This window comes from Homo sapiens, chromosome 3, assembly GCF_000001405.40.
Source record: "Homo sapiens chromosome 3, GRCh38.p14 Primary Assembly".
NCBI lineage: Eukaryota > Metazoa > Chordata > Mammalia > Primates > Hominidae > Homo > Homo sapiens.
Window position 1 is genome coordinate 13,001,608 of NC_000003.12, and position 22,243 is coordinate 13,023,850.

General features: G+C 53.9%; 1 protein-coding gene and 1 long non-coding RNA gene across 21 annotated transcripts in view, besides 18 other annotated features; one reads left to right on the forward strand and one right to left on the reverse strand.

The window, feature by feature from the left end:
- The window catches only part of IQSEC1 (IQ motif and Sec7 domain ArfGEF 1), a 386,215-nt gene that overhangs the window by 104,565 nt on the left and 259,407 nt on the right, over nucleotides 1–22,243 (reverse strand). For 3 of the 20 annotated variants that reach the window (XM_047449341.1, XM_047449353.1, XM_011534306.4), the window contains exon 1: nucleotides 20,426–20,967. The exons of 13 other annotated variants lie outside the window; for them this stretch is intronic. In XM_047449341.1, coding sequence (XP_047305297.1) covers nucleotides 20,426–20,493 — 68 coding nt within the window. In that variant the 5' untranslated portion in view covers nucleotides 20,494–20,967. Of the gene's footprint in view, nucleotides 1–13,970; nucleotides 14,029–17,542; nucleotides 17,855–20,425; nucleotides 20,968–22,243 lie in introns of those variants that run through there. 4 more of the 20 variants (XM_047449349.1, XM_047449360.1, XM_011534311.3 and 1 more) reach the window with 2 other exon arrangements.
- Nucleotides 7,539–7,588: an enhancer, noted in NCBI's record as "active region_19464". NCBI's record gives its function as "activates an Ori minimal core promoter by ATAC-STARR-seq in GM12878 lymphoblastoid cells {active_cell/tissue: GM12878}" and the evidence as "EXISTENCE:reporter gene assay evidence [ECO:0000049][PMID:35858748]".
- Nucleotides 7,629–7,698: an enhancer, noted in NCBI's record as "active region_19465". NCBI's record gives its function as "activates an Ori minimal core promoter by ATAC-STARR-seq in GM12878 lymphoblastoid cells {active_cell/tissue: GM12878}" and the evidence as "EXISTENCE:reporter gene assay evidence [ECO:0000049][PMID:35858748]".
- Nucleotides 7,959–8,028: an enhancer, noted in NCBI's record as "active region_19466". NCBI's record gives its function as "activates an Ori minimal core promoter by ATAC-STARR-seq in GM12878 lymphoblastoid cells {active_cell/tissue: GM12878}" and the evidence as "EXISTENCE:reporter gene assay evidence [ECO:0000049][PMID:35858748]".
- On the forward strand, nucleotides 7,983–9,137 carry LOC124906214 (uncharacterized). Its single transcript, XR_007095821.1, has 2 exons — nucleotides 7,983–8,654; nucleotides 8,850–9,137. It is a non-coding gene; the product is annotated as an uncharacterized LOC124906214 (long non-coding RNA).
- Nucleotides 10,667–10,826: an enhancer, noted in NCBI's record as "active region_19467". NCBI's record gives its function as "activates an Ori minimal core promoter by ATAC-STARR-seq in GM12878 lymphoblastoid cells {active_cell/tissue: GM12878}" and the evidence as "EXISTENCE:reporter gene assay evidence [ECO:0000049][PMID:35858748]".
- Nucleotides 12,276–12,777: an enhancer, noted in NCBI's record as "H3K4me1 hESC enhancer chr3:13055383-13055884 (GRCh37/hg19 assembly coordinates)". NCBI's record gives its function as "activates a minimal SCP1, AML or CMV promoter by ChIP-STARR-seq in naive H9 embryonic stem cells {active_cell/tissue: H9 hESC(naive)}" and the evidence as "EXISTENCE:reporter gene assay evidence [ECO:0000049][PMID:30033119]".
- Nucleotides 12,778–13,277: an enhancer, noted in NCBI's record as "H3K4me1 hESC enhancer chr3:13055885-13056384 (GRCh37/hg19 assembly coordinates)". NCBI's record gives its function as "activates a minimal SCP1, AML or CMV promoter by ChIP-STARR-seq in naive H9 embryonic stem cells {active_cell/tissue: H9 hESC(naive)}" and the evidence as "EXISTENCE:reporter gene assay evidence [ECO:0000049][PMID:30033119]".
- Nucleotides 13,535–14,303: an enhancer, noted in NCBI's record as "H3K27ac-H3K4me1 hESC enhancer chr3:13056642-13057410 (GRCh37/hg19 assembly coordinates)". NCBI's record gives its function as "activates a minimal SCP1, AML or CMV promoter by ChIP-STARR-seq in naive H9 embryonic stem cells {active_cell/tissue: H9 hESC(naive)}" and the evidence as "EXISTENCE:reporter gene assay evidence [ECO:0000049][PMID:30033119]".
- Nucleotides 13,607–13,686: an enhancer, noted in NCBI's record as "active region_19468". NCBI's record gives its function as "activates an Ori minimal core promoter by ATAC-STARR-seq in GM12878 lymphoblastoid cells {active_cell/tissue: GM12878}" and the evidence as "EXISTENCE:reporter gene assay evidence [ECO:0000049][PMID:35858748]".
- Nucleotides 14,304–15,071: an enhancer, noted in NCBI's record as "H3K27ac-H3K4me1 hESC enhancer chr3:13057411-13058178 (GRCh37/hg19 assembly coordinates)". NCBI's record gives its function as "activates a minimal SCP1, AML or CMV promoter by ChIP-STARR-seq in naive H9 embryonic stem cells {active_cell/tissue: H9 hESC(naive)}" and the evidence as "EXISTENCE:reporter gene assay evidence [ECO:0000049][PMID:30033119]".
- Nucleotides 14,357–14,456: an enhancer, noted in NCBI's record as "active region_19469". NCBI's record gives its function as "activates an Ori minimal core promoter by ATAC-STARR-seq in GM12878 lymphoblastoid cells {active_cell/tissue: GM12878}" and the evidence as "EXISTENCE:reporter gene assay evidence [ECO:0000049][PMID:35858748]".
- Nucleotides 15,077–15,186: an enhancer, noted in NCBI's record as "active region_19470". NCBI's record gives its function as "activates an Ori minimal core promoter by ATAC-STARR-seq in GM12878 lymphoblastoid cells {active_cell/tissue: GM12878}" and the evidence as "EXISTENCE:reporter gene assay evidence [ECO:0000049][PMID:35858748]".
- Nucleotides 15,648–16,447: an enhancer, noted in NCBI's record as "NANOG-H3K27ac-H3K4me1 hESC enhancer chr3:13058755-13059554 (GRCh37/hg19 assembly coordinates)". NCBI's record gives its function as "activates a minimal SCP1, AML or CMV promoter by ChIP-STARR-seq in naive H9 embryonic stem cells {active_cell/tissue: H9 hESC(naive)}" and the evidence as "EXISTENCE:reporter gene assay evidence [ECO:0000049][PMID:30033119]".
- Nucleotides 16,448–17,245: an enhancer, noted in NCBI's record as "NANOG-H3K27ac-H3K4me1 hESC enhancer chr3:13059555-13060352 (GRCh37/hg19 assembly coordinates)". NCBI's record gives its function as "activates a minimal SCP1, AML or CMV promoter by ChIP-STARR-seq in naive H9 embryonic stem cells {active_cell/tissue: H9 hESC(naive)}" and the evidence as "EXISTENCE:reporter gene assay evidence [ECO:0000049][PMID:30033119]".
- Nucleotides 17,246–18,043: an enhancer, noted in NCBI's record as "H3K27ac-H3K4me1 hESC enhancer chr3:13060353-13061150 (GRCh37/hg19 assembly coordinates)". NCBI's record gives its function as "activates a minimal SCP1, AML or CMV promoter by ChIP-STARR-seq in primed H9 embryonic stem cells {active_cell/tissue: H9 hESC(primed)}" and the evidence as "EXISTENCE:reporter gene assay evidence [ECO:0000049][PMID:30033119]".
- Nucleotides 19,730–19,929: an enhancer, noted in NCBI's record as "active region_19471". NCBI's record gives its function as "activates an Ori minimal core promoter by ATAC-STARR-seq in GM12878 lymphoblastoid cells {active_cell/tissue: GM12878}" and the evidence as "EXISTENCE:reporter gene assay evidence [ECO:0000049][PMID:35858748]".
- Nucleotides 20,180–20,259: an enhancer, noted in NCBI's record as "active region_19472". NCBI's record gives its function as "activates an Ori minimal core promoter by ATAC-STARR-seq in GM12878 lymphoblastoid cells {active_cell/tissue: GM12878}" and the evidence as "EXISTENCE:reporter gene assay evidence [ECO:0000049][PMID:35858748]".
- Nucleotides 21,160–21,219: an enhancer, noted in NCBI's record as "active region_19473". NCBI's record gives its function as "activates an Ori minimal core promoter by ATAC-STARR-seq in GM12878 lymphoblastoid cells {active_cell/tissue: GM12878}" and the evidence as "EXISTENCE:reporter gene assay evidence [ECO:0000049][PMID:35858748]".
- Nucleotides 21,740–21,839: an enhancer, noted in NCBI's record as "active region_19474". NCBI's record gives its function as "activates an Ori minimal core promoter by ATAC-STARR-seq in GM12878 lymphoblastoid cells {active_cell/tissue: GM12878}" and the evidence as "EXISTENCE:reporter gene assay evidence [ECO:0000049][PMID:35858748]".

The following is a 22,243-nucleotide window of genomic DNA, read 5'->3' on the forward strand; positions in this document are numbered from 1 at the left end:
TTGTTAAAATGGGGGAGGAGTTTTCGTCTTCACGAAAATGATGTTTAAAAATGTATTGTCTTGGCCTTAGCTGGAGTGGTCAAAAATAATAATAAATATTGTCAAATGATTTTTTACAAGGTGCCAAGACAATTCATTGGAAACAATCATTTCTTTAACAAGTAGTGCTGGCCGAGCGCGATGGCTCACGCCTGTAATCCCAGCACTTTGGGAGGCTGAGGCGGGCGGATCACCTGAGGTCAGGAGTTCCAGACCAGTCTGGCCAACAAGGTGAAAACCCATCTCTACTAAAAATACAAAAATCAGCCAGGCGTGGTGGTGTGCACCTGTAATCTCAGCTACTCCAGAGGCTGAGGCAGGAGAATCACTTGAACCCGGAGGCAGGGTGGGGGGTGGCAGAGGTTGCAGTGAGCTGAGATCTAGGCACTGTGCTCTAGCCTGGGTGACAGAACAAGACTCCATCTGGAAACAAACAAACAAACAACAACAACAAAAAACAAGTAGTGCTGAGACAACTGGCTATTTATACACAAAAGGATACATTTGGGCCCATGCTTCCCACCATACACAAAAATTAACTCAAATTAATCAAAGACCTAAATGAAAGAGTTAAAACTATAAAAATCTTAGACAAAAACATAAGAAGAAATCTTTGTGACCTTGGGTTATACAATGATTTCTTAGATACAACACCAAAAGCATAAGCAAGAGAATTACAAATTCATAAATTGGACTTCATGAAAATTAAAAACTTTTGCACTTCAAAAGACACCATCAAGAAAGTAAAAAGATAAGGCCCTGCATAGGCTCATGCCTGTAATCTCAGCACTTTGGGAGGCAGAGGCAGAAGGATTGCCTGAGCCCAGGAGTTCGAGACTGTAGGGAGCCATGATCATGCCATTGTATTCCAGCCTGGGTGAGTGAGTGAGACCTGATCTCCAAAAAAAAAAAAAAAAAGGAACTGAGAAACTGAGAAAATTATATAACTGATACTGGAACCTGTATGTAGAGTATGCAAATAACTCATGACTCAATAACAAGGAGACAATACAATTTTTAAATGGGCAAAAGGTTTGAATACACATTTCATCAAAGGAGACATATGAATGGCCAATAAGCACATGAAAAGATGTTCCACATCAAAGAAATGCAAATCAAAACCACAATGAGATATGACTTCCCACCCACTAGGACAGCTAGAAGCAAAAAGCCAGACAATAACAAATGTGGGACAGGATGTGGAGAAATGGAAACCCTCACACACCACTGGTGGGAACAAAAAGATGCAGCCACTTTGGAAAACAGTTTGGCCATTTCTAAAAAGTTAAACAGAGAGTTACTATGTGACCCAGCAATTCCACTTCTAGGTATCTACTAAAGAGAAATGAAAACATATGTCCACATCAAATCTTGTATGCAAATATCCATAGTAGTAGTATTTACAATAGCCAAAAAGTGGAAATGACCCACATGTCCATCAACCGGGGAATGGATAAACTAACTACAGTGTATCCATACAATGGAATGTTATTATTCAGCAGTAAAAAGGAATGAAAGACCAGGCGCAGTGGCTCATGCCCAACATTTTGGGAGGCTGAGGCGGGAGTGTCACATGAGGCCAGGAGTTCAAGAACAGCCTGGGCAACAAAGTGAGACCCCTGTCTCTACCAAAAAAAAAAAAAAAAAAAAAAAGGAATGAAGTACTGATACATTCTATTCTATAACATGGATGAACCTTGAAAAACTTCACGCTAAGTGAATAAAGCTAGACACAAAAGGACACGTGTTGTATGATTCCAAAAGGATATGAAATGCTCAGAAAGACATATCTACAGAGACAAAAAGTGGTTGTTGAGGACTTGGGATGGCACAAGGGACTGAGGGAAAATGGGTATGTGGTTTATTTTCAGGGCCATGGAAACGATTAAAAATAAAATTGTGATGGTTACAGGATTCTGTAAATATAGTAATAATAACCGAATTGTACACTTAAAATGAGTGAATTTCATAGAGTAAAGTATCCCTCAATAAAGCTTTAAGAAAACACGTGATGACTAAATGAAACATAAGATCCTAGGTTGGGAGGAAAGCTTGGTAAAAAGGACATTACTGGGACAACAGGCGAAATGTGACTTTTAAGTTAGTTGTATTTTAGATCCTAGTATCATGTCCATGTTAAACTTCCTGAATTTGACTAATGGACCATGGTTATGTAAGAGAATGTCCTTGTTCTTAGTAATTATGTACTGGAGCAGTATTTAGGGGTGAAAGTTACATATGGCATGTTTGCAGTGACATCTCAAATGCTTCTAAGGGAAAAATCGGTTTTTAAGAGAAAGCAAAATTTGGTGGAATGTTATTAGTGATGAGTCTGGGTGAATGGTACACGGGAGAATTTTGTTTTGTATTATTGTTGTAACTCTTCTTTAAGATTGAAATCACTTCAAAATAACTTACAACTCTTAAAGAATCCACACATTTAAAAAATTATTGTTGGGACCTTGAATAAATCTATAGACCCTGAATGGAGAAAAAGCCCTGAGCTAGTTGTGAACAGAGTTCCTAGAGAGGGTGCCCCTGCTCATCATGTCTGTTGCACCCCAAAGAGAAGACAAAGACACAGCCAGAGGGTAGGGTGAGAGCATGTGTCTGTATATGCCATAGCTTGCATTCATTCAGTCATTTACCCAACAAATATTTCCTGGGTGCCATCATGTGCAAGGGTAATCAGCTGTGAAGCAGAGATGATCAAATCCCTGCCCTCAGGTGTTGAGATGCAGCTGGGGGCCGGGGGAGCGCTCTGCAGGAGGGGGAAGCCGATGTGGAAACCCCTCAGCTACACCCAGGCCCCAGCCTCCCACCAGATCTGGAGCCTTGGAGGGCAGGGATTTGTGTCTGAATCACCTCTGTGCACTCTCCCCGCCTCCCTCCTCCCTCTCCTTGGATTATAAGGAAGTCAAACTGTCTCCACACAGCAAAGAGCTTTTGACCGCTGGGGCCCACAGGCTTCGAAAGGCCCAGAGCAGGGACAGGGCATCTATGCAGGGCCACTTTCCACCAGCAAAGCTCAGAACGGAATCAGCAAGAGTAGGTGGGAGGGAGGGTGGCTGGGGGCTGTCCAGGTGAGGGGCTGCAGGGATGGAGGGAAGCATTATCAAGGGGGGAGGCTAATTCACCTCCCACCAAAAACCCAGCATCGGGCCAGCCACAGTGCTGGCCACGCAAATATCCACGAGGTAGCCTCCACCTCCACCAGTAAGCCCTTGACTCCTGGGAGCTGCTCAGGGACTCCAGCTCCTGGAGGTTACACGGATTCCCAAGCTGGGAACCCCTGAATTATTTTAGGGGATCTCTCATCCCGTATGTGCAGCCAACACTGCTGGTAGACCAAACAAATACTATGTTTCACACGTGAACATCTTTCAAACCAAAATAGAAGCTGCTTTGATAAATAAAATTCACAGACTCCAAAGTTATCTAAAAATTGGTTCTTAACAGCTTCCTGTCATCCTGTAGTTTTTCAATCTTGGATATTAACCCTTGTGTGTGGGGTTAATATGGCATGGGGGCAGGGGGTGTCTCATAATTTCTGATGATAAACAGGTCTCTTCCCTTTACTTGAAAAGCCCGGGAGTGCAAATGGAGTTCCCATACTTCACGGTGTGGGGGAAGGATCAGAGGATGAGGCCTGTACTGCTGGACCTCGGGTGGAGACCGCAGCCCAGGGCTCCCTGCTCTGCAGGGCTCTGGAAGATGAGGGGATCTGGGGGCCCAGAGCCAGGCACCCCAGTGTTACTGGCCTGCCTGCCCCCAGCAGACCAGCAGTCCTCCAAGGCAGCAGCTGGGCCAAGGCTGAGTCTCTCAGGAGTCCTGGGCAGTCAGCACGTAGCTGGGTGACCACGGAGGCAGGCAGGCAGGAGGCGCCTGGACAAGGGGGCTGACATTCACAGCAGGCTGGGCTGGCTGAGGGCTTTGAGCCCAGCTCTCCACCTGCTAGCTGTGTGGCCACTGAGCACTCAGGATGTGGCTGGGGTGATGGAGACTGAGTTTTTCATTTTGTGAATTTTAATCAGTGAACATTTAAATAGCCACCTATAGCTGGTGGCTACTGCTCTGGGCAGCCTGGCTCTGGAGGCTTCGTAGGGACGGGGAATGGAAATGGCCCTGAAGGTGAGCCAGCCAGCTTAGCTCCCCCTCCCTTCTCAGCAAGGATTTGAGGGTCCCCCTTGCAGAGCAAAGGCTGCAGTGTCTGGACAAGCCTCAGCTCCCTCCCTGGTCCGGTCCAGGCATCTGCACACATCACAGCACACAGAGTGCCACTGCCCAGAGCAGTGCACACAAAACCAGGTACTCTGTCTGATATGAGCAACTTAAGGGCTCTTCAAGGGGAATTTTATGATAGTAACTTTTTGACTTTGTATATAATGACTTTAGAGCTTACTCCCCTCACCCCAACCTGTGTGAAATAACAGCCCAGCAAAATCCTAATGATACATATCTTGTGATTGCCAAATATGACCACAAATTCCTCCCATCCTGGTACCCAGGCCTCTCCTGGGTAGCCCCCTCCTCCCACCTGAGCTGGGGGCTACTTCCCCTCCCCTTGGGCATACGACTTTCCTTTCAGGAGAAGGTGGCAGAGGTGATGGCTGTGCCTCAAGAGGCCTCACGGCTTCTGGTTCATTCTAGAAGTGCAGCCTCAGATGCCATGTGGAAGGTGTGATTGGGGCACGTGGAGGGAACTGAAGGGACCCCGGTGTGAGAGGCTTGTCTGCCATTGTGGGGGCCATGTGGAGGGAACTAAGGGGACCCCCATGTGAGGAGGCTGGTCTACCATTGTGGTGGGGGCACATGGAGGGGCCTGAGCTGCCTGGCCGCCAGCCAGCATCCACTGGCAGACATGGGAGTGGGGCCTTCTTGGAACTTCCAGCCCAGCTGAGCATAGCCAAGGGCAACCAGCACAACTGCCCAGATCTTCCAAACACACAATCACGTGTTTTAAGACACTATGTTCTGTGTAGTTTGTTACACAGCAAAATCTAACTGAAACACACGCGCACACAGCCCCCACTCTAGAGACTGCCAGCTGGTGTTGCAGTTCAGGGCCCACCCACGGCCCCAGGAGGCAGCAGCACACCCGGAAGCACTGCCTGGGCCCAGGGGCAGGGGCATGAGAAGTGTCCATGGGCCGCTGGGGAACTCTACCTTTTAAACAGAGCAGAAACCCACGTGGAGCCCAGAGACAGGCCGTCTTTGGCAGATGCCTGGGGTCTGTGCTCTGGGCCGGGCTCTGACTGGCGGAGCCCCTGCAGCCTGGCCTCTCCTGACATGTTTGCAGTCAAAATCACAAAGCTCTGCTACCGGCGGGTATCTCTCTCCCCATTTTATAGATGAGGAAACAGATTCAGGAGCAGGAGACACTTGTCCAAAGTCGGTTTTGCTAGGCTTTGTCCTCCTCCAGGTCTTTTTGGCCCCCATCCCTGCAGTGGTAGGGGTGCCCCTAATTCACAAGGGTGGAGTGCAGGAGAGGAAGCTGGCAGGGGCTGCATGAGACTGTGGGGAGGGAATCACGTGTCTTCATGCAGACAGAGCCCAAGGCACTTAGGGTCGGGGGACAGAACCCCTAGGAAGAGGGTCAGGGGAGCTGCAGCAAGGACTCTGTCTCCAGCTGGTATGCGGGATCCAGACAGAGCAGGTGGGGCTGGCTCTGTAACTGGCCTGTCGGCCGTTCTAAACATCCAGAGAACTGAGTAGTGGGGACGCCAGCTGTGGGCCCAGCTGCCCCTGGGAGGAGGGCAGAGGCCAGCCTGGCTCTCTACCTGCCCCACCCACTGCACCGGTCCACCCTCCGTGTCTCTAAGGAAAGCTAGGTTCTAGGTCTCAATTCTGATGCTGCCACTTTCTGGCTGGCAAGGAACTTGCGCGAGTCACTTGGCTTGCCTCAGTTTCCCCCCCTGCAAGATAGGGCAGATATTCCTGTTGGACAGGATTTATTGTGAGAATGGAATGAGATCATAGTTGGGACCATACTCCTACACACATTAGAGCTTATCACCCATTTCGCACTTGAAAAACATCCCGTTTTCTTTGCTGCTGCTTGAAAGCCTCCGCAGGCCACCCACTCCTCACTTCTGGGTCTGCCTATCTCTGCGGTTTCTGTGCTTGCAGATGAAATGTAATTCTTGGCTGTTGGAAGTTTGGGGCTGAGCCCAGCCATCCCTCCCTGTCTCTGGGGCCCCACCCGTACCCCGCCCCAGAGTCCAGAGCCCCCAGCACGTCCAGCTTACCAATGGAGCCCACCCTTCCCCGGAGCAAGGTCACAGAATCCCCTGTCCTGTGGGAGGAGAGCTTGGTGATTTCTCAAAGTCCTTGCAGCTCTGACCTTCTAAGCCTGCACTCCTCTAGGAAGCCAGGTGAGAGAGCAGAGGAACTACCCTTCCATAAGCCCACCCCAGGAACCCCAGGGAGGGGCCAGGTGCCTGGCCTTCTGAGTGTCTGTACCTGAAGATGAAACGGGGTTACTTAGGTACTTCTTGGCAGTTCTGAAGTTCAGGACTGAACCTAGCTGCCTCTCCTGGCTATGTCCGTCCATTACCATCACCACCTTGTCACCCTCCGTCTGGGGTCTGAGGCCAAGCTGGACACCTCTCCTTCCCGCGTCGAAGCTCAGAGGTGAGCCTCAGCTGACCCTCCCTCCAGCAAATGTTTAGAGAATGAGGTAAGCATCCTCCACCAGTGACCGTCAGGCTGTCCACTGTCCAACCCAGACGTCCTCTCTGAGAGTGCTGCCATTAGTCTCCAAACCCTCTGTCCTTTGAGCCTGAATCCCCAGGGGGCTGTTCATACTCCTCTTCCCTCTGCCACCTGGCTGGCCCCCATCTTTGCTAGCCACCTCCTTCTTGCTCTCAGTTCCCCTCCTCAGGGAGGCCCTCACTGACCACCGCCAAGTCGCTCCCCACTGCAGCCTCCTGCTTCATTTTCCTGACTGTGATGTTGGAAATGCTCGTTTGTGTGTTTGTTTACTTGTCACCTCTCTGCCTCCCCCAACCCCCAAATGCCAGCTCTGTGAGGGAGGGGGTCTCACGCTGGTGTCCTCACTGCTTTGAGCGGTGCTGGGCACACAGTCAATATTAGTTGGTCGAGTTACTGATAGAACAACGCTCTTGATCCGGCTCCAGGGCAGAAAGGGGAGCTCACAGAGGAGGGGATATCCAGCTAACCCAGTGGGAACCAGACACGCTGGCAAACCCCATCCCACGGGCTAGGCTTTCAGTTAACCCTCTCATTCATGCATGAGGGGGTGCTTATTAAGCCATTTTCCAGATAAGGCAATGGAGGCCCAGAGAAGTGAAGTGACTTGCACAAGGCCACATGGCTTGTATGCTGCAGAGCTGGGTCTTGGCCTGGCTTTCTGAGATCGACAGCCCTTTTCCTCTCCAGGGTTCCAAGGCTGTGATTCCGAGAGATCACCACACAGGGAAGGAATCCTGACAGCCTGTGAAGTGCCTGGCACTGGGTCAGGTTATTTGCCAAGGTTTGTTCATGTGCCTGCTCTGTCTTCATAGGTCTATTTTACAGATGTCAAACTGAGGCCCAGAGAGGCCTGGTGACTCGCCCTAGGTCACACAGTGCGGTGACAGCCAATCCAGGACCGGTGCCCGGACTGCCACACCTCTCCATGTGGTGGCGGTGAAGCTAAATGGCCTGCTGCCTTGATTTCCCCTTTGTGCCATGAGGGTGTGGGCAGGCTGATTTCTGACATGGTGTAATGTCATCAGGGAGGCGGGACCTTGCCTGAGAAGCCTTAGGGCTGAAAAGGGAAGCGCAGAGTGGCTGTTTCCCCATCCTGCCCGCTCTCCGCCCTGGCCCTGAGCCAGGTGGGCGGCCAACTCCCTTTGACCACTTCCTGGGGTAACTCCCCCGGAAATGCCCCAGATGCCCGCAGCCCAAGTATAACTCCAACTTCCAGGCTCAGGACCCTCATCCCTCACCTCCTCCTGCCAAGATCACCCCAAGCAGAAACCAGTAGGCATAATAATTAGTATGTTTGTATATATATATGTGTGTGTGTGTGTGTGTGTATGTACTTTGCTGATTAGATATTTTATCAGATATCTTATCTATATAAGGAAACAACAACAAAAGTGAAGCTGACAGTGCGTTGAGAGCCGGGCTTTAGCACACCACAGCTCTATGTCTTAGGATCCCTCCTCTCTGCCAGTGTGGCGCCCGCCTCCTACTCCCATCCTCTGCCTCCAGTCTCCTCTGCCAGCCTGTCCTCCATCCAAGCTCCCTAGGCATCCTCTTCAAACTCTTTGCTGATTGCTGTAAGGCAGTGGAGCATGTGGTTAAGATTCTGGGCTTCAGGTCAAGCTGATTTGGGATTTGAGGACATTTGCTAACAGTGTGACCTTCGGCAAGTGACTGTGTCTCCCTAAGCCTCAGTTTTCTCATCTGCAAAATAGGGATCATAACAAACTCTACCTCACGGGGCTGACCCGAAGGGATGATGCATAGCAGAACACATGGCTCAGCTGGCCAGCCGGCAGGTCTTAGCAGGTCATAGTGGCGGAATGACCAGCCCACAAGTCTTAGCAGGTCGCAATGGTGGATGCAGGATGTTTCTGCCTGACCAGCCTCCATTCTCACTTCCGGTAAGACACCCCAATTTTCTTTGGGGAATCCAATCCTCCATTCTCAGTCCATCTAATTTGGGTCAGCTACCTCCAGGGGTGAATGCAGTACCGAGCTTGGTCTATCAGAGAGAGTAGTTCATCCCCCCTGCTCAAGTGACTGGTCCAGGGATGGGTATGTGGTCTAAGCTAACCATGGAGAGTCGATTCTGTCAGAACAGTTTCTGCCTGGATATGACAAATGTCGACCTGGAGCTGTTGGGGCCATCTGGGCAGAAAGGCTGTCCGGGAATGAAGTCAAAGAGATGGAAAAAGAGAAAAAGAGGCCGGCGTCTGGGGTCATGGTTTGAGCCCCCGAATCCAACTGTACCTGAAGCCCTGTCTGTTTCAGAAACAGAAGGCAATAAATTCAGCCTTTGCCTTAAGCCCGTCAAGCCAGTCTGGGGTGCCTCTTTTTTTTAATCAACCAAACAAATACTGGTTAATAAAACTCCCTGCTCAAAAGCTCCTGGCGGCTCCTTCATGCCTGCAGGGAGAGGCCAGCACCCTGGGCTCTGGGCCCCACTTGCCTTCCTTTTTGTCCTGAACTCTGGCCCTCATCCCTCCCAGACAGGTATCACCCAAGACTGCTGTTTCCCAAACACACCATGAAGACTCGACCTACAGTTTCTACCCAAACTCTCCTCCACTCCCCACTTGAGCAGTGCCTGCTCACTAGAGCTTGCCTCCTCCTGGAAGCCTCCCCACACTTCCTCCACCACTCTGAGTGTCAGTGGCATCTACCTCCAGCTTCCCATCACTCTGCTTATTTCCCCAGAGTGAAATTCACTTTTTTTTTTCTTTTTCCTCTTCAAAAAAACTTTGTCTCACTGTATCATTTAAGAAATGAACATCCTGGATTGACTTGGGATTTGACAAATTCAAACTTGGTTTTAACACACCATGTGCATTTCCTGAGCCCCAGGCGTACCAGCAGACACAGGGCTGAAAGACCCAGGGCCTACCCGCAGGGGCTTAGAGGCTGAACCAAACCGTTTCCCATTTGGCTCAAGACAATGGATGCAAAAATGACCATTTTTAAAATTTTAAATTCAAATTTATTTTACTTGGGGATAATCATCACTGACACTCACTGAGCCATTGCTAGGTCATTGTCTATGGGCAGGTCCATGCATAATGTTATTTAATCCTCACTCTGGGAAATGTTATCCTCACTTACAGAGGAGGTCACTGAAGCTCAGAGAAGTAAAGGGAGCTGCCCAGGGGGTTACAGCAACTGTAGGGAGCTGACCCTATATTCTAGCCCTTGTTATCCTCCCTGGCCTTTCTCAACTGTGTGCGAATACACTGGGGCCAGCTTCGAAGTCTTTTTAACATTCACTGTGTAAACTCGGCACCAAGCTAGCTTCCCCTGGTTGCTCACAGGCAGGTGGCTGTCCACACCCACTTCTGTGTGGGGGCCTCTGGCGTCACATTTCACACCCCTGTTCTGTAGGCATCGGGTTTCAGATTTGCTGTATTTGCTTCCGCTGCCACTACCGGTAGATCAGAAGCTGGGGAGGTGTTTCAACACATGATTGTTTTGAATATGGTGACTTCCCCATCTATCCCTGCCATGGGTAACATCCCAGCAGCCTCTTGATAGCAGAACAGAGGCCATTGAGCCTGGCCAATGAGTGAGTCTCAAATTCTAAGTTCGTGGGGGACTCACTTAAGAAGGGTGGTTTGTTCCAGCACCTGATCAGAACCTGTGGCTCATCCTCTGCAAAGTGGGCATGAGGCACCACCAGAGGCTGCGGAGTGGCCAGAATGAGGCAACATATGGAGGGGGTGTGGCACACGGTAGGTGTACACTAAGTGCTCATTCCCTCTTTTCCTTACAGCCTTGCTGCTGGGGCTACCTTTCACCCACATGCAGGCTTACTTGCCTGCACCCCCGGCATGGCCCAAGAACCAGTTCTCTGAGTTCAGCCAGGACTTCCAAGAACCTAGCACAGCCAGGTCAGCTCCACTGTGTATGAGTCCTGAACCCGACCCTAGGCCCCTGCTCCCTCAGTTGCCATTTGCCAGGCTACCTCCTCCATTGCTCCTAAAATCTAGCTCATCTGCCACCTCCTCCAGGAAGCCTTTGGGGAACTCCTCCAGATAAAAACTCCAGTGTCCCTCCTCTGGGCTCCCACAGGCCTCAGAGCTCACCCCCTTCTCAGCCCTGAGTGCCATGTGTAGTCATTTCCTCTTTTCTAGTCCCTTCTCCCACAGAGCACTGTGAACATCCCCAAGACAGAAACGATGTGTTGCTCACCACAGCCTGGGCCCTACAGCTGGCCTGTCACAGGGCTGGTGACGACCGAATGAAAGGAAATGCCTAATGTTTTCTGAGCACTTGCTACATGCCGGGCACAGAGCCAGGGATGCCCACATGGAGAGGGCCTGCCTCACAGTGAAGACAGTAGGAAGGAAAGCAGAGGTAAGAGTTGAAAAGTCCAAATCCATATATGAACACTGCGATTCCGCCATTCCCGAAGCTAGTTACCCTCCAGACTTTTCAGTTCCAGGAGGCAATGAAACCCCTTTTCTGCTTATGCCCGTTAGGTTTGGATTTTCTGTCACTTGCTACTAAGACAGCCCTCACTGACCAAGTGAAGCTCAGAGATGGGACCCAACACACCCAAGGTCACATAGCTACGAAAGCAGTGGAACAGAAACTCCCATGAAAGTCTGGGCTTTTTTTTTTTTTTTTGAGACAGTCTTGCTCTGTGTCCAAGGCTGGAGTGCAGTGGCACGACCTAGGCTCACTGCAACCTCTGCCTCCCAGGTTCAAGCGATTCTCCTGCCTCAGCCTCCCAAGTAGCTGGGATTACCGGCATGCGCCACCACGCCCGGCTAATTTTTGTATTTTTAGTAGAGATGGGGTTTCACCATATTGGTCAGGCTGGTCTCGATCTCCTGACCTCAAGTGATCCGCCCGCCTTGGCCTCCCAAGGTCTGGGCTCTTAACCACAGCCTGACCACACCCCAGGCCCGGCTGATAGCCACTTCAATGCTCCCACACGCTGAGTACAGTCCAGATACCCACTCTGCCGGCGGAGTCCCCTCACCTCTTTCCCAGAAGCCACTGGAGTTACACTGGTTGGGATTTTTGGGCATTGGTTTGCAAGTCCATCAGATGGGGCTAATGAGCTCACCCTTGCATGCAGGTCAGAGGACAGCTCACACTGGCCTAGCCCACAAGGGACTCAGGGAATGAAGGCCACAGTGTGGACCCTCCAACCTGCCCTCAGCTGCCTGATGGCCTACAGGTGTTTTCTAATAGGTGACATGTGTCCATTAAAATAAAATACAACCAACCGCTTACCCCTCCTTGCGCCCATCTCCTTCCTCTGCCCTACTCTCCTTCACAGAACATGTCATCCCCATGACCTATCATGCATGCATTGCGTTAGTCATATATTGCTTGACTCCCCAACACCAAGAAGGGAAGGGATGGTTTATCTGATTTATCACCTTTGTACTCTCAGAGACAAGACAGTACTTGGCACACAGTAGGTGCCCAATAAATGTTTGTTGAATGACTGAATTAACAAATGAATGATGTGCATGAAACTCTGCACAGAGTCATGGAGTGCTTAAAGGCTCCTGGTTACACCTGGCCATTTCACAGGTGAGGACATGAGGCCTCAGGATGGGCTCCCCTGAAGTCCCCAGGCAGGCAGCAGGGGCTCTGATCTGCTCTGTGCCTCTGCTGGGCTGGACCGAAATGGGCCTTGAACACAGGTGTGGGCAGCCACCTGGCCAGGCTCCCCAGCTTGAGCCCTGGCGCCCAACAAAGGCAGGTTGCTGCTGGAGGTAGCTGAGCTGGAGGCCAGAGCCCTGGGCTCTGAGCTGTAACCCCTGAACCTGACCTCTTGGGGTCCTTGGGCCAACAGCCCCTGGCTCACTGGGGTCATCAAGCCTCCCCTAACCAGCCTGAGGGGCACTGTGCCCTGGTAAATCTCTCAGTGAGATGGGAACCCAGAGTCACCTACGCCCACAGGGAGATTCCCCACAGAGGCCTGCTTCACCATCTAAGCCTCACAACAACCCCGGAAGGGAGGACTTTCGCTATGGGTTATATGGAAACCCAGGCCCAGAGATGTTGGGACATCTGTCCCATGTCACATGGCTGGGGCACACTGGGGAGCTGGGATTTGAGACAGAGTGACTGACCCCTCAGGGCACTGAGCAGCCTTCTGTCTGCAGCGTGGGGGCAGGGGTGAAGGTGCCCATTGCTTCCTTATCACTGGGCCTCACTTTTTCCATCTGCCACTGGTTGGGCTCCAGTCCTAAGGAAAGGGCTATCTGTCTTGCCTGCCCCCAAGAGCCAGGGCTGGGGTGGGGGAGGCTTGGCTGGGAGTGAGAGCTCCCAGGCTGCTCCCTGAGGCTGGGTCGGTAAAAGCTTCCTCTGACCCATCTGTTGAACTCCCTGATGACCCCAGTGAGCCAGGGGCTGTTGGCCCAAGGACCCCAAGAGGTCAGGCTCAGGGGTTACAGCTCAGAACCCAGGGAACATCCCCCAACACGCTCCCAGCCCCAGGGATCTACAGATCCTCAAGGTTCCACTCTGGATCATTTCAGAAAGATACTGAACTTGTCAGTGGGTCAAGGGGCTCCTGGGGGGACACATACTGGGCTACTGCCAGATGGGAAATGGCCCCAGCGAGCCTGGGGCAGGGAAGACTTCTGCAAGGCAGTGTCTCCTCAACACAGCCTGGGGAAGCCTTGTGTTCCCTCAGCCATAAACCTCCATTTGCTCAAAGTTTATGCACCATAGGGTTGAGGGGGGCAGCAGTGTGGGAAGGAAACACACCAAATATGCTCCAGGAGCCCTGGGCCACTGTGTGACTTCTGAGGGCCTCTGAGGACTTCTGACTTCTGTGTGACTTCTGAGGGCCTCAGTTTACTCGGCTGTAAACTGGGCATTGTCAAGAGTCCATCTTTCTCAGGGTGGTTGTGAGGGCCGTAGGCAGCGACCCAACACTCCCTGCCATCCAGGTGGGCTGCGGGGCCCTGGTTCTCAACCCTAATGGGGCCTGGGGCTGGTCTAACGCGCAGGGGAGCTAAAGAACTTCCCCTTGCGGCTGTGGGGAAACACCTGGTGTTCCTGGGCCCAGGGCGAGCCTGTGTGCATTCCAGGCAGTGAGAAACGGGTCACAGAATACAGCTCTGAGAAACAGTGAAAACTCTGACGACAGCCCCCAAGACCCTCACCACGGCAGGCTGCCCTGACAGTCGCCAGCCCCTCACAGGTTTCTCAGGGCTGCTGAGGTCCCCTCCCCGGGCCAGGTGGGTGGTACTCACAGTCTCAAAGTGGAGGGGGCGGAGGTGTCCCTGGAACCCCAGTGCCTGGCCTGCCTCTGCGGCCCCGGGGGATGAGCTGTGGGTCCATCCCCACAGCAGGTCCTGACGTCTGACTTCCTCCCTGCTCAGTCGGCATCCAGGAAACCACACCCAGGGGAGAGGGTGCCAGGCACCCTGGGGCCCCCGCCCACCTGCCCTCCAAAAGGCCCCCAGGCACTGCTGAGGGGGCTCCTTCCAGGTCTGGCAAACCCAAATGGCTTCACTGGGCAGGCCCCAGTCAATAAATAATACACCCACCTCCCTGGACAGTCTCTGGTGCCTGATCGTGTTTCAGGGCCACTTAAGTTCCAGGCAGACTGCTTTGTTCAGAGTGCCGGGCCCCTTCTGGGTCTCTGGCCACATGGGCACTGCACTGTCACGGAGGGCCAGCTGGAGCCAGCAGCATAAAGTAGTGTGACAGGGGTCCCTGGAGAGAGGGTGCCCTACTTACTTAGCAGCTTGGGCCCAAAGGGGACCCAGGGGTGGTGCCAGGGTAGGGTGGCCAGTCTCGTCTCCCCATGGCCAGGCAGGGCCCCCCACATCCCCCACAGGGGTGCCATCTGGAGAGCCGCCACCAGCCCATCCTGACATTGCCAGTGTCCGGGCCCAGGCCCCTCCTCCAGGAAGCCTCCTCTCCGCCAGGAGTGCTCTGTCCCTGTCTGAATTCCCACTGCAACCGCCAGCCAGTCTGTCTGTCTCCTTCTTTGGGTCTCAATTGTCATCTCTCATCTAAACAGTGGCCGGCCGCCACATCTCAACCGGCCTTCCCTGCCCCCAACGCCCCACCACTCCCTCTCCACAGTCTCATTTCCTCACAGCAGCCCGGGTGACGGTTTTAAAACAGAAAGCACAGCAATGTTACCCAGCCGTGGCTCTCCCGCCCCAGTCAACTTTCAAGCCCTCTCCAGGATCTGGCCCTGCCACCACGGGGACTGCTCCTCCCGCCCTCTCGACTCCTGCCAGCCTCCTCCTCTGTGCTCCTCCTGCAGGTGCACACAGACCTCAGGGTCCTTACACCAGCTGCTCTCTCTGCCTGCTCTTCCCCAAGGTCCTCACAAACTCACTCCACCCTGTCACTCTCAACGCAAGGCCACCACTGCAGACGAGTCTTTGTTTTCTTTTCAAACAGTCTTATTAAGATATAATTCACACACCATACAACTCACCCATTTAAAATGTATAGTTCAATGATTTTATTAATAGTATATTCCCAGAGGGGTGCAACTGTCACCACTATCTATGTTTAGCATATTTTCATCACTCAAAAAGAACCCCTCCCCAGCCCTGGATCACGGCAAACCTACCTCCCGTCTCTATAGATTTGCCTGTTCTGGACATTTCCTAGAAACGGGACCATACGCTCTGTGGTCTTCCGTCTGGCTTCTTTCACTTAGCATGATGTCCTCAAGGTTCACCTGTGCTGTAACACGTGCCAGAACTTCATTTCTTTTTGTGGCTGAATAATATTCCACACTATGGACAGACCACATTGTGTTTATCTATTCATCCACTGACGGCCACTGGGAGAGGCCCTTCTTGACCTCCCCAGGCCATGTGGCTCCCTCTCCCCGATCACTCTGTCATCCCTCCCTGTTTTATTTTCTTGGCACCGATCTTTGCCTGAAGGCATCTTCATTTGTTTATTTTCTCTTTATCATTTCTCTCTCACCTGAACATCTATCTGCTCCAGGAGGCCTGAGTGTCCACCTCACTCACTGCTGTATCCCCAGGGTCTAGCCCGGGGCAGCAAACAATAGGTGCTCAGCAAACTACTTGCTGATCAGCGGAAGAAAGCCTCTTCCCATGTGTCAGAGTGGCTCATGCCCATGCCGCCTTGCTGCTGGGCTCTGAGCTCTCGGCGACAAGTGCTGCCCTGTGGTGCTTGCCAAGAAGAGCCTCACCCACAACTCCGGTGAGGAAACCAGTAACGCAAAGCCTTGGACTCAGGTCCTCCTCTGTGCTGTGGGACAGTGCTCCTCACAGGGTGGGCGCTAGCTGGCTGGATGTGGGAATGGATAGTTAGCACCTGGCACAGTGTCAGGCACAGAGTAGGTCTTCATCCCCTGAACGAAGACTCGATGCAGGGAGAGGGGGCGGCAGTCACTAGCAGAGATGGGAACCGAGGAGAGGGAGGTGAGGCTGGCAGGGCTGAGGCAATGGTGAGGCCCACGGGTGAAAGGGGAAAGCAGCCATAAGGGAATTTATGTGTGCTCCAGGCAGTGCCCAGAGCCAGAGAAGTGGCGGCTCTGCTCTGCTCTGCCCAGGACCTCCTGCCCATCCCAAACTCAGCTCTGGGCTCTTCCCGGAGATAGACAGCACGAGCCAGGGTGTGTCCAGAAGGCGTGGGTGGGGAGGAGGCTGGTGACCCCTTCCTCAGCCTCAGGGAGTCCTGGTCTCTGCAGGCTGTCCAGAGCTGGGGAGCAGATGGGTTGTGAGGCTCAGAGGACAGGGCCAGGCCACTTCAGTGTGTGGGTGGGTGGCAGCGAGCACCGCAGGAAGGATGGTGCCAGTTCCAAGTGGGAACAAATGTCCTCGCGTCAGAGCTGCCTAGGCATGGCCCAGGCTGGGAGGTGGTGAGCACTCTGTCCCAAGAGGAACGCCCACTGGCCCTCCTGCAGAGGGGCATCAGATGGCTAATTGTCCAGGAAGCTCCCTGGAAGCTCTCAAAGGCTGGCTGCCAGCTGAGCTGTTCACGGCCCTCCTGCCCAGATGCAGCCACGGTGGGAAGGCAGAGGGGGGCAGGGCCAGGGCAGCCAAGGCCACCCCACTCCTTATCAACCAGCACCCTGGGCCCCATGTGTTCCAAGTGAGCTGCCCTGGCCCACGAAGAGGCTCAAACGCCCCATTGGCTCTCAAGGCACAAAACGATCTTTCTTTTTCAATATAATGCCAGATGCAAAAGTGATCTTCCTGCCTGACCTGAGAGGGGCTGTGGATTTATCAGGGCACTGCCCTGTACCCAGAGCAAGGCCTTTGTCTGCCAGGGGCCCAGAGGTGAGTGCCCAGAGAAAGGCCAGCCAGGGAAGACGCAGGGAGGGGAGGGGCGGGGAGCTGGTTAAAGGGTCTCATCCACCCTCCAGAACTACTGTATCCCCACACGCATCTCACAGGCGGGGAAACAGGGGCTCAGGGAGGCTGCCTGTTATACAAACAGCCAATGCCTCAGCAGCACCTACTGCAGCTGGGGGAAGCTTACAGGCATTGTCTCATGGAAGCTTCAGAACGTCTCTAAGAGTCACGTCCACGGTAGGAAGGGGCTGAGCCCAGTTTTGAACTCAGGTCAGCCTGATTTCTGAGCCTGTGTGCTTCCCACTTCATCACGTTATCCCCCTAAGCCCCCACGCTGAGACTCAGAGGACAAGGAGGGGGTGCCACAGCCATGCACCCTGCTGGATGCCAAGCCAACAGAACCCAGTGATGACCTGCCAAGAAGCCCGCCCAGCTGGCATGGCTCCCCCCCAACTCTACAGGCGAGGAAACAAGCCCAGAGAGGTTTAGCAACTTGCCCGAGGGCTGCACATCTCACAACCTACCGTTGTGGGCTCTAAACCCTGGGGTGCCCAGCTCCCAAGCTGTTCTGTCCAGGATACAGCCTGCAGCCAGGATCGTCCCTCTCAGAGTCCTCGGGCCAAAGTTCCAGAGACCCTTCTCCCGGCTCCTTGACTGCGGTCGCCAAACCCCTGGGCAGAGGGCCAGGGCTGGCAGGCGCACAGCTGCTCCACACACACCTCTCGCTTTTCCAGATGTGAATGGGACCCAGCCAGGGGCAACAGGCTCACTCGGAGGGGAATCTGAAGACGCAAGTGGAAAACTATGCGCTGTCCGATCGCAACCCTCCAATCTGTCCCTGTGGCCGCCGGCAGCTCCGCCTTGGGCCACAGACCTGCTGACTCAGGGCTTCCCTGGCAGCCGAGGGGGCTGGGATCCGCAGAGGGCCTGCTCCTGGCTGGCTGGCTGGTTGGGGCGTGGCCTTAGTCCTTTCAGGGGCTCTCAACAGAATGGGGTAGGGGTCGGGAGGGCAGAGTGCTTCTCTTGGAGCCCAAGGCCCATCCTCCCCAGTTAACCACAGGGGCGCCTGGCAGTTATGGGTGCTAAGAGTGGGTTTGGGACAAACCCAGTGCCAATTATGGTGCCCACACCCACCCCACCACTCTCCTCTCATTGGTGGTGAGGAGGCCACCCGCCAGTGCTCGTGACACCCCTGTGAAGCTACCTGTCTATCACCACTTGACAGCCACAAAGCCTCCCGTAAGGCCCCGCCCCACAGCCCCGTCAGGTGGCCGTGCCATTCAATGAGGAGACTGAGGCACAGAGAGGCCAGTCTGCCAGGCTCTGTGAGGCGGTGCTGCTTCTCCTACAGACCATGTGGGCAAACGGCAGCCAAGAGGGAGCGAGCGAATCACCCTTGGACAGGGCACAGCGGGCCTCCCAGTGCCGAGCCCTCTGCATTCTGTCAACAAGCCCTGAGGTTTCCAAAGTGCCAATACCTGGAAACCTTGGGACAGAAGGGGACTCAGGAAAATCCAGCTGTGGTCACAAGGAAAAGCACACGGAGAGCTCACCAAAGTCCAGGACTCACCCGCTGCCTGGCCCAGCTCCCAAGTCACCCACCCAGGAGGTCTATCCCGGGGTCTGGGGCAGGGGCAGGGGCAGGGGCAGGCAGCCGCTGACTCACTCCAGGGCTGAGCTCTGCCTCTCTCCTTTCCCACAGCCAGCCGGCATCCTCATCCCAAGAGAACACTTTAGCCCTCACTGTCTGCCCTGCTCCCTCAAACCTGCCCAGGCCCAAGACCCGCCATTGAGGCTGAGGCCCAGGGCCCCAGGCACTCTCACCCAGCAGCAGAGACAACTATGGCCACTGTAATTATGGTTTCTTATTACAGTGAGAGTAAACTGTGTGGCTGGGTTTCCCCTTTCCCTTTGGCTGCCAGGAAACTTGGCAATTTTTACCCCAACAGAAGAACCTCAGGACCCTGTATATCTCTGTTCTGTTCTATTTTTCTACCCTAGCTCATGACATCCTATTCTAAATTGTGCTTTTTCCACTCCTGATTCTTTTTTTTAGAGATGAGGTCTTACTGTGTTGCTCAGGCTGGAGTGCAGTGGCTATTCACAGGCATGATCATCACACACTACCCTTGAACTGGGCTCAAGCATTCCTCCTGCCTCAGCCTTCCGAGTAGCTGGGACTAGAGACATGCACCACCATGCCTGGCTTCTGATGTTTTTTATTAACTATTTTGTTGCAGGTATTTTCTGTAAGCTGTCACAAGTATTTTGGGAAGGAAGGAAGAAAGGAAAGAAACAAGGAAAGAAGGAGAAATAGAAGGAAGGCAAAAAGGAAGGAAGGAAGGAATGCTTATAAAGTTTATACACCAGAGAGTGAGGGCAGAAAGAAAGAGGGACAATCTTTCAATCCCTTACCTGTTGCAAATCCACCCCTTTAAATAAAATAATATGCCCTTAGGCGGCATCCAAGTACAAACACATCTTCCAAATAGGTGGCTGCCCCTAAGCCCTTCCATATACAAATTCGGGCCCCGTGTAGTTCCCCTTTACAGATGGGGAGACCCCAGCCTTGCCTGAGATCACAAGGGACCTGGCTTCCTGCGCCCTGGTCTCCCTCCTTCTGGCAGCTGCAGAGGCCGCAGCGATCACAGATGGTGTCCCCTCCCCAGGGGGCCAAGGAGCTCTGCTCCACCCTTTCATTCTCACCATGCAGGCGCCATTCCAGATACCCCCACCACCCCCCACAGCTGTCCAGCTGGGGAGAAAGCTCAACGGCAAGGGTCATCGTATCCAACACTGACTGAATGCTGGCACCGCACCGGGCCCTGATCTTAGTGTGTATTACCTCACTGAATCCTCAAAACAATCCTAAAAGGATCTGCAGATGGGAAACTTTGGCTAGAGGTGAAGCCGCTTCACACCACTAACAATGCCAAAGCCAGCATTAAACCTGGGCAGCCTGGTGTCTGAGTCCGGGCTGAGCCCTCAGCCACTCAGTGACTGACGTTTACGGTCACACGAAGGAATCACTACACCAAGCGCTGAAGGGACGCGTGTGAGCCCCATTTCGCTGGTGGGTAACAGGCTCAGAGATGCTGTGGGGCAGGGCCAGGGTCACACAGCTGTGCCCTGTGCCAGCATGTTATGTAACACATGCTGCACCTGCCCCTGGCGTTCCTTTCCTGAACGTGTGCTCTGGATCCCAGCCGAACGTGTGCTCTGGATCCCAGCCAATCGCAGCACACCCCCTGGTCATTGTTCCACTCTCCTCCTCCCGCTCCACCAGAGACTGAAAGTTGCTCCAGCTCCCTCCATCCCAGCTCCTTCCTGGACCCTGTACAGCCATGCAAACCATCCGGCCCAACAGTCGACAGCCAGGCAGAGCAGCCATGCACGCGTCCCGGTACCTGAGTGTCCTCACAGAGATGCAGTACTTCCACATAAGGCTCCACACGGCACTGCCATACCCCTTCATGCCTGGCTCGGTGGAGGAGCGAGTGGCCAAGGGGCCCACCACCACTGCCCCACCACCCAGAGTCTCCTCCTGGCCAGGGAACGGCTCTCTTCACGGATTTTCAGGTCCCTTCCTTCTTCATGGTAGGAAGAAGAAAGAAAAGCCCCCAAAGTTAGGGAAAAGAGGAGGCACTGGCTGCCACAGGCCACTGCAGGGCTGAGCCACAGGCCCCACTATCCACCGGCCAGCCTCTGTGCCCTGGTCCTGTCTAGCTGCTCCAGACCCTCCTGGCCAAGCGGCCCTCACACACTAGACCCTGTGGCTTCTGCACAACCTTGCGCCTGCCTCCTGCCAGGAGACAGCAGTGGCTGCAGGCCAGGGGAGCAGTGAGTCACTCAGGGCGGGATGGGTGAGGGGCGTCCGCCGGTGAGGAAAAGCTCAGCTGCCGGAGCCCAGGGGCTGGCCCTGCGTCCAGAGGCTGGCCTGGGATGGGAGAGGCGAGCTCAGAGAGAGGGAGGCGGGCGGGGAGGCGAGGGCGGGCCCACATCCTCCCCATTTCCCCAGAGGCTTAAACCCAACTCCCGCCCTGCAGCCCAAAGCCTGCAGCCCGGCCCACCGACCAGCTGGCCAAGATGAGGGTGGAGGAAGGGGCTGCTCTGCCACCTCACTCCTAGAGAAAGCCTGGGGTTGACACAAAGCAAAATAAAGACAAAATCAGGGCTGCTCCTCTGGACAGTGGTTGGCCCTCCAAGGGTCTCCAGCTGGTGAGTGAGACGGTTTCCAGCTCTGGCTGGGCCACTTCTTTGCTGTTTGATGCTGGGCGTGGTCAGCCCCCTCCGGCCTTAGTTTCACCTCAGGCTACTGTGGGCTTGTGGAGCTCTGGGAATTGGCCTAAGCCCTCCTCAGGCCAAGAACTAACTCATCCAGTTCTCCCAATGCCCTTAGAAAGTGGATTTTATGATTAGTGTTGGTTTACATGAGACACAGATAGAGGAAGTCACTTACCCTAGGTCACAGACCTAGGAATTGGTGGAGGTGGGATTTGAACCTTGGCAGTCTGGCTCTAAGAGCCCACGCTGGAGTCAGGGTGTAAGCTGGCTCCTCTCTGTAGGGATGGAGTGGGGTGGGATGAAGGGCTGGAGCCTCTGAGCAGCTGAAGGCCTTGGGGTCTGGGCCCAGGCTGGGTCTGGGGCATTTCCAGACTGAGGCCCCAGCTTGAGCCCCCACCCTGGTCTCCACCAGCTGCTCCCAGGCCCAGCCCAGGCCAGGCAGCTGGGGCTTCCCAGGCAGGGCCCCCAGGGATAATGACTCACGGATCAAGGTCAACACTCACAGATCTACTTTTCCCCACCTACAGCCCCCAGGAAGTCCCCCAGAAGGGCAGGTGCACCCAGCACCTGGCACCCAGCAGGGCCCTGGGCATCATGTATAGTGGGCAGCAGAGCTTCCATTTCACCGGGGGAAACTGAGGCTCAGAGAGGGCCATCACCTGTCTGCAGAAACAGGGAGGGTGGGGCCAGGGCTCCAAAGCCTTGCTCTGTCCCCAGGCCCCACCCCCGGCCTGTGCAGAATGGGAAATCTGTCTCAGATTCCAGCCTGATTCCCACATCAAGGATTAGCAGCTGCAGGCTTCTCCATCCCCTGAGCCAGGAAAGAACTTTTAATCCAAAAACAAGATAGGTTTCTACAAAGGCTGTGGCCTCCCTGGGGGACTCGGAAACCCAAATTCTTCTCCCTGTCATCAGAGGAGGCTTCACAAGCCACCACAGCA